This window comes from Homo sapiens, chromosome 12, assembly GCF_000001405.40.
Source record: "Homo sapiens chromosome 12, GRCh38.p14 Primary Assembly".
Lineage (NCBI taxonomy): Eukaryota > Metazoa > Chordata > Mammalia > Primates > Hominidae > Homo > Homo sapiens.
In genome coordinates this window covers 106,141,461-106,150,653 of record NC_000012.12, presented here as the reverse complement: position 1 = coordinate 106,150,653, position 9,193 = coordinate 106,141,461, and the positions used below count along the sequence as shown (strand labels likewise).

The following is a 9,193-nucleotide window of genomic DNA, read 5'->3' as shown; positions in this document are numbered from 1 at the left end:
CTTTCGAAAGAACAGTGAGACAGCTGCTCTTTTTGAAAAAGCGGGACTCCAAGCTGAAGCCAGGCTGGATTTCTTTGTGCTGTCCTTTCTCTGGCTCACGAAATTCTACCTTGGAGGCTGAAAACTCATGGCATTCAGTTTCATTTTAAAAAGGAGATTGGAACCCTGAAACTAAGTATCTACAAATTATTTTAGAAGTGGCTTTCACAAAGATGCTCTCTTTTTTTTTTCATTTTGATGATGTCTCTACATTGGAGGGTATGGAGGGTATCATTATCCCCATTTTCTAGATGGGGAAACTAAGGCCAGGAGAGACTGTGTGATGTGATGGGAAATGTTGGGAAATTGAGACTATAAGCTGGCTCTAGTCTGATAAATAATAGACACAACATGTAGAGCCCTTCGCAGCTGACAAAGTATTTGCATGTTTTAAACTTTTTAATCCATCCATCCAACAAACCCAGTAAGACATTTTATTATTATCCCTGGTCTTACAGATCAGTTAGTGACAGACCTGGCCTTCTAACTCCTTCCCATCCTTCTGTTCTCTTTCCATCGTATTACTTCTTCTTGGGTTCTTTGACTTCTTTGAGTCTCTATTCTAGGAGCTGGTATTTTTTTCTGTAAAGAGCCAGATAGTAAATATTTTAGGCTTTGATGGCCATATGATCTCTGTTGAAACTACTCAGTTCTGCCCTTCTAGCTCAAAAGCAGCCATAGATGTACGTAAAAAAATGGATGTTACTGTGTTCAAATAAATCTATATTTATGGCCCTGAAATCTGAATTTCATATAATTTTCATGAATCATGAAATATTATTATTATTTGATTTTCAAAAGCAACTCAAAAGTGTAAAAACCATTCTTAGCTTGTGTATGGCACAAAAACAGGCAGGGGGCCATAGCGTGCTGACTCTCGCCCTATCTTTGTCTGTAAAATTGGGAAGTAGTAATACATCCGCCGTAGACTCACATGGATTAAGTAAGATCACACCAGTACCATGTTTTGCACAGGGTCCACCATTGCCCTTCTGTCACACGATGAGAGCATGAACGTCTCTGGGTTTCAGTTCTCTTATCTATTAGAAGGGAAGTGTTGGCTACTTCTAGCTCTGAGTCTATATATTTTTGCCAAATTACTTTTTGCTAAAGAGCTTCAACCGCCTTCCTTCTCCCTGCCCTGAGGACATCCATGCCTCCTGGGTCTCCCCAGAATTTCTCCACCCCATTTCCATTTGGCCAACTTCTCTTTCTTGGTCCTAGTCGTTATTTTGTACCTTGGCTTGCACTGAAGTGAACTAGATTTCTTCTCCATTTCTTGGAGAAGTTTTCAGTGGGCAGACCCAGCCACTTGGTGGAGCTGTGGGGAGATGTTTTTCCTTATAAAGCTACCTGATGTTTCCCCTGGAGAACTTCAGGTTTGAAGGTAGGGACGCTGGAAATGGTGCTTCTGGGGGAAAGAGGTGTTGTTCATACCTGTGTGCGTGTTTCCAGCATCTGTCCATATCCAGTTAATTTGGGCAGTCAGGGTTTTGAGTTCAGATGTTTCAAGAGTCCTGAGTGGGGCATTTATATGGGAGAGGCCAGGGACAGATAGATCCTAGATCTGGCGAGGTTCTCAATCCGAATTCCTGGAAGTTTCCCAGTTGTCCCTTGTTCTGTCATGGAGGAAATCAGTCTGTCTCCTCACCATGCAAAACATGCACTTTCTTTTTGGAGCCATTAGATGTACAATCGAATAGCCTTTATCTTTTAAGGAGCTGACTTTTTGTGACTTTTATATATGTAAAACATGCAATTTCTTTTTGGAGCCATTAGATATACAGTCAAATAGACTTTATCTTTCAAGGAGCTGACTTTTTGTGACTTTTATATAACAACTATTGGTGAGATGTGATTTCTTCTCCCTTTCTTGGAGAAGTTTTTGGTTGCTCAGATATTAGCTATTATGTAGCCAAATTACCTGAGCTTGTAAGTTGCGAGACCATAGGGTAGTCTCTCGATCTCTTAGCATATCCCATGAAAAACGTGGGAAATAAAAATATCTAATCCCAAGTAAAGTATCATTTTGAGAATTAAAAAAGACCACTTGTGGGAAAGTGTTTTGTAAACTGTAAAGCATCATGCTGATGGGAGGTATTAGAAACTCCTCGAGGGCAGAGGACCATCTTGTATTACTCTTTATCTGCAGAATGACTGCAGCATCATAGATGCTCAGCTAACATCTGTTGAATGAATGAGTGAACAGGCGAATGAAGAGCATCACGAAGGGGTTGGCAGACTGGAAATATGCCTATTAAATTAAGGGTTTCAAAGGATGAGGCTGGGAGAAGCAGGAGAAGCAGGCCCTTGAGAGGAATCTAGGGCACGTGGCTTGTCTGCCAGGAAGGCAGCTAATGCATCCCTTGCCAGCTAGCCGGCTGCCGGGCAGGCTGGCTCCACTGGGCGAGCTGCCAGGCCCCAGGCCATCTAAGGCTTGTGTGAGCGTCCCAGAGCAGGTGGGCCGGGAGCGTCTGTCGTCACGGGTGGGCTGGTGACCCGCCTGGAATGCCTTCCCTCTCGTGCCTGCTTTTAGAGCCTTAGTCCCTGGTGACAGTAAACAGAATGGACGCAGGGCCTGACACTGAGCCACCCTGGGTCTTGGCAGGGTGGGTCTGAGAGACCTGTTTTCCAGAGTTAAAAGAATACAAATAAACACAGCACAGATAAATGTAGGCAGTTATATAGGAAATCTAGGTCCCAGGGCTATTTTTTCCTGACCCAGTTTTTTTGTTTGTTTGTTTGGGACATAATTACTTGGGAAATGGTAATTGTTTTACATGCTTGCTATAGACCTGATAGAATAAATCTAATAATAATATTATTTAAACAATAATAATAGCAGCTAATGTTTTGTCTGTGTTTACCACGTGCCTATGTAGTACTATGTTAAACACTTCATAGACATTTTCATAGTTCTACAAGGTAATCATTAACTCTGTAGGATTGTATCCTGTCAATCCTATGTACTAAGTATTATTACTATACCTATTTTACGTATGGAGGGATTGAGGTTCAGTCACTTCCTGGGGTCACAGAGCTGAATGGTGGAAGAGCTGCTAGAACTCAACTCAAACCATTCATCCACCCATTCATTCATTACATAATGATTGAGCACCTACTATATAGCAGGTACTAGGGATTCATGTGTGAATAATACCAATAAAAACTCCTGCTATGTGGGGACAAACACAACAAATAAAGAAATTTTATAATATATTATATGGTGGTAAATGCAATGGTGAAGAATAAAGCATCCAGGGAAGGAAAGCAGCGCCAATAGCAGAATGGGAGGTGGAGAAGGTGGGCTGCAATTGTAGACAGGATGGTCAGGAAAGGCCCCATGGTGAGGGTGACATCTGAGCAGAGTTGAAGGTACTGGGTTGCTGAACTGTGTGGATTGGAAAGTAGAACTTTGTTTTGTATGAACTTTGCCCAATGGGGCAAACAGGCAAATTGGAGTCCAAGGAAGATTTCTGTGAATTCACTTTTTTTCTTAAGTTCATTCTCACTCTCTTTTCTGGGCTATGCATTTCCAGAATAGGAAATTGAATGGCAAACTAGGGAGAAAGTAAAGGCATCAAATAAATTCATCGATCAATCCGTCCATCCATCCGTCCATCCATTCATCCATCCATCTACCCACCCATCCATCCATACATCTGTTCAACATTCCTAAGGCACCCACTACAAGCCAGACCTATGCTTCTCTTAGAAGAATAAGATCTAGCTCTATACTGTTGGATATATAAAATATATATAAAATAAATATATATGTATAAAATAAATATAAGTAATGTTATATAATTTTATATAATCAACTGTAAATATATTTTACACTGCTTCAGATTTTTTAAATTTAAATTTTCAAATGAAAATTTTATTAAATACAACTTTATTGTTTTGCTAGAGTTGCATTTCAGTTTAATCATTGAAAATTTATCTCTGAATTGAGAATACTCTAAGTGTGAAATGCATAATGAATTTTGAAGATTGAGCACAGAAAAATGTAAAATATCTTATCAGTGAGTTGTTTATATTAATTACATATTGAAATTAAACTATTCCAAATATTTTATTGTTACTATTTATTTTATAGTAATACAGTAATATGTTTATTACTATTTCGAATATTATATTATTAAAGTTAATTTCTCTTGTTTTTGACTTGTTTTTAACATGGCTGCCAGGAAAGTTAAAATTATTTATGTGGCTCGCGTTATATTTCTATTGGATAGTGCTGTTCTAGACCTTGCCATTCCGGAGCTTCCAGGCAACTGCAGGGAGCTGGGCACACAATTGAGTAATTGTAATACCATGTGGTAAGTGCTATAATAGACCCAGGAACCGAGTGCTCTGGGGACAGAGGAGAACTGAGCCTTCAGTTCTGCCCAGCCCAGGATCAGGGGAGAGGTGACGTCCTCAGCTAGGTCTCTGAGATGGTAGAAGTTTGTCATCTGGAGGCCAGGAAATGAGGGGTCCCAGGAATTGGGTATAGCATGTGCAAAGGCCAAGAGACATGAAACCCTGAGAACCATGAAGGGAAAGGAATGTGTGCATTATTCAGCAAGAGAAAGGACCCCACCCTGCCCAGAACCCTATTTAACCTCAGTGAAAGCCTAAGCCTCTTCCATTGTAGCCAATTAGAGTTTTTCTCCCACCCGACCCCAGCACGTCCCTGCACGTGACATTTTTACTCTTGCGACTTTCTGGCAGCCACTCTTTCCAGGGTGGCACGGTGTTGTTTCTGCTCTGGAGTCCTGCCAGTGCCTTATCTGTTGACAGGAATTTATCACCTTTCAGTTTCTTTTTTTTTTGATAACAGAAACTTCCAACGAATCCCTGCTGTTTTATTCCCCAGGAAGAAGCTATCTTATTTTTCAGTACAGGGTTTAGAACAGAGAAAACAAGGCAAATGGGACTGCTGCCAGCTGTCCACGTGCTCCATCCCATTCATATGTGCAGGAGGAAGGCAAGAAGGAATGTGCAAGGAACGGAAGCCTGACATCTCCAAAAGGAATCAAGAATGTCAGTGTTGGAGGGTGTCATCAGTCATCTGCTCCATCGGTTACCCACTGAGGTGGCTCCCCAGACTGACACTCTTCCCAACAGGCTCAATGGGCCCTCTCAACCATCAAATGCATGAGATAAATTAAAACTAAAACTCCATCTGAGCTATTTCTGTTGACCCTTGTAAATATCCACTGATTCTATTTATACTTCTGTTTCCTGATGTCACCTGTCAACCTCCATAGAAAGGCCTTCTCTTATATCTTTTTATATACAGAATAGAATACCAGTGGGCAGGTGGCAAAAAAACAAAACAAACAAACAAACAAAAAAACCCAAAAAAACAGCCTACATTTATTGGGTGCTACTACTCGTATCTTGCTGATCTTGTGCTTTTTTTTTTTAATTAACTCATCCAATCCTCAACAACAAAAAACCCTTTGAGACAGGTATTACTAATGCCCCCATCTTAAAGCTGAGAAAACTGAGAAACAAAGAGGAAGTTGACCAAGAGAACATAGATAGAAAGTGGGACAGTCAGCATTTGTACTCGGGTTTTTCTGATTCTGGAGTCTCTGCCCTTAGTCATCATTCTTGTTTCTCTAGCCACTTAGCAGGGGGAAGAAACATAGCTTTCTGTTGGATTTGTGAGTAAGCTTTAGTTTTATTTTAGTTATCTAGTCTGCACTCAAGTAGCCTGGGTTATCCCAAGAAGTTTGATGGCTGGAGGTCAGTTGAATGCTATCAACTGTACTTACTACTCGTAGACTGGAAGCTGCATGAAGATGAGATCAGACCTGTCTTGCCCCAGCACATTCTCAGCCCCAGGTGCCTGACATGTATGGGAAAATACTGTGGAATGAATAAATTTGTTTCTTCCTGTTTTATGACTGTTGAATACTACTCGTATTTAATCTCTGACACAAGCAATGCAGGAAAAATAAAAGAAAAACTCAAGACCCTAAATAATCTGGTATCTCCTTGAATAAACAGAGAGAAAATAAAAATGTCATTTTGGGTTTCAACTATTCAGGTACTTGTTATAATCTTCCATTTTGCTTTTTCTGTGTACATACAGATTTGGTGTAAACCGTATGTATTAGTTAGGGTAGTACTAGCTGTCATGACATAAACCCTCAAATTGCACGGGCTTAACACAATACAGTTAAGTTTATTATTCACTGATGCACCAGTCCAATGTCCTGGTCAGAGAATGACTTTATTTCTTAAGGTGAAGTAGTGGCCCAAGTTTCTTTTATCTTATGGCTTCACCATCCACTTAGGGCCTCCAAGTCCTCTGTTTCCAGCTAGGCAATGCGGAGAAGGCACACCCACTTTTTAAACACCCTGGATTGGAAGCAAAAAACATCACTTTTGCTCATGTTCCATTAGAGAGACCTAGTCTCATGGCCACACTTCGATGTATGGGAGGCTGGGCATTGTCCCTGGCTGAGCAGCCGTCTGTCAGCTCTATGGATGAAGCAGCATGAATTTTTGGTTGCAATTATCTTCCTTCCACTACAGTGAAGACTAAGCACTTATTTAGCTTGCTATTTAAAGTAAATTGTCCACCAGACCACATGTTTAAGTTAGAAACATCACAGTCTTAGGTAACTTTTCAAAACTTCATCTAGCAAAGTGTAAGAACAGTTATCAGCCAAAGCACAGGCATTAATTGACATGAGCTCGGGATAGGGGTTGGAGCAAAGCCTTAGAGTCGGAGGCTCGCGTTCAAATCCTGACTGCAGTTACTGTTTGATCACAGGCAACTTAGCCTCTTTGAGACTCAGATTTCTCAGTAGCAAAATGGGCAACATAACACCCACCTTGCAGTTTTACGATGATTAGCAGGGCGATATGCATATGTAGGGGTCCTAGGTAGTAAATAAATAATGTAGTAGGTAGTAAATAAATAATGACTGCTACTACTATGTTTTCTGAACAAATGTTTCTTTTTTTTCTTTTATTTTTAACTGACACATCATTGTACATATTTATGGGGCACAGTGTGATATTTCGATACATGCATACAACGTGTAATGATCAAATCAGGGTTATTCACATAGCAAACATATATCATTTTGTTGTGTTGGGAACATTCAAAATCTGCTCTTCTAGCTATCTGAATATATAAAATAAATTATTAATATAGACAATATATTGTATATAATTTATATACAATAAATTATAAACATACAATAAATAAATATATACAATCAATAATGAATATATACAATATAATATTCTACTGTATGTTCTTAAATACACAATATAAATTACTAATTTATTGTATCCTCCCAATTAAATTATTAATTATAGTCACCCTGCAGTGCTATCAAAGATGAGCACTTATTTGTCTTATCTAGTTGTAATTTTGTGCTCGCTAACCAACCTTTGGCTATCCCTGTCCCCTCCCCCAACCTCTAGTAACCACAATTCTACTCTCTACTTCAATGAGATTAACTTTTTTAGCTTCCACATATGAGTGAGAACATGTGGTATTTGTCTTGCTGTGCCTGGCTTATTTCACTCAACATAATGTCCTCCAAGCTCATCTATGCTGCCTGAATGACAGGATTCCTGAACAACGATTTCTTGAGAAAGCGAACATACCTTCTTTCTTTTAAATTGCTTTGAAAATAGAAAGTGCAGTGAAGGACCAGTAATGAGCCTTATGTAAATAAAAGATGTAGGATAGTGTGGATGTCACACTTTCAAGTGCCAATGTTACTACATCTGTCCTGTATCCAAGAACAAAACCAGAAATCAGAGTCTAACCAAGCAGTATGATTAAACTGCTTAAAATTGCCCCAGGCCAGGCACGGTGGCTCATTCCTGTAATCCCAGCACTTTGGGAGGCCTAGGCAGGTGGGTCACCTGTGGTCAGGAGTTTGAGACCAGCCTGACCGACATGGTGAAACCTCGTCTCTATTGAAAATACAAAAAAATTAGCTGGGCGTGGTGGCACATGCCTGTAATTCCAGGTACTTGGGAGGCTGAGGCAGGGGAATTGCTTGAACTAGGGAGGCGGAGGTTGCAGTGAGCCAAGATCGTGCCATTGCACTCCAGCCTGGGTGACAAGAGTGAAATTCCATCGCAAAAAAAAAAAGGCTCCAAATTCTAGTAGGAGCTATGGAAGATGAAAAGTATCGTATTAATATCCACGATTTATTGAGTGGATATAGTCTAGCCCTTAATCCTCATACCAACCCTGTGGGATGTGTTATTGGCGTAATTGCTAATACCACATACATTGTTACTGTCAGGCCTCTGTGCCCAAGCCAAGCCATCGCATCCCCTGTGACTTGCACGTATACGCCCAGATGGCCTGAAGTAACTGAAGAATCAGAAAAGAAGTGAAAATGCCCTGCCCTGCCTTAACTGATGACATTCCACCACAAAAGAAGTGAAAATGGCCGGCCCTTGCCTTAAGTGATGACATTACCTTGTGAAAGTCCTTTTCCTGGCTCTTCCTGGCTCATCCTGGCTCAAAAAGCTCCCCCACTGAGCACCTCACGACCCCCACCCCTGCCCGCCAGAGAACAACCCCCCTTTCTTTGACTGTAATTTTCCTTTACCTACCCAAATCTTATAAAACGGCCCCACCCCTATCTCCCTTTGCTGACTCTCTTTTTGGACTCAGCCCGCCTGCACCCAGGTGATTAAAAGCTTTATTGCTCACACAAAGCCTGTTTGGTGGTCTCTTCACACAGACGCACATGAAAGTTACCATCGCCACTTTGCAGATTAGAGAACTGAGGCATAGAGGGGGAAAACAATTATCCAAGATGATCATAAGAGGTGGAACAGGGATTTGAACCTAGTCACTCTGCCTCTAGATCTGAAGCTCTTAATCAAGGAGCCTGGGCTCTTGTTGGAGAAAATGCTTTATCGATGTGAAAACATTCACACACAATGCCTGATAGCATTGTGCTGAAGTGTGGTTCCAATTATAAACGTGGTAGGAATTCAGTCTGGAGAGGAACTCCCAGTGCCTGGGCATGACTGTGTGCTAGGCATTGTACTGGGTGTTTTTCATCCTTCCCATTTAAGGAGACGGAGCATGGCATATATGAAAGGAGAAGGGGGAGCTTTGGAACTGGACAGGTAGGGTTTAAATCCTGGTCCTGCCATTTACAAACTG

General features: G+C 40.9%; 1 annotated feature.

The window, feature by feature from the left end:
- Positions 1,956-2,455: an enhancer, noted in NCBI's record as "H3K4me1 hESC enhancer chr12:106541977-106542476 (GRCh37/hg19 assembly coordinates)". NCBI's record gives its function as "activates a minimal SCP1, AML or CMV promoter by ChIP-STARR-seq in naive H9 embryonic stem cells {active_cell/tissue: H9 hESC(naive)}" and the evidence as "EXISTENCE:reporter gene assay evidence [ECO:0000049][PMID:30033119]".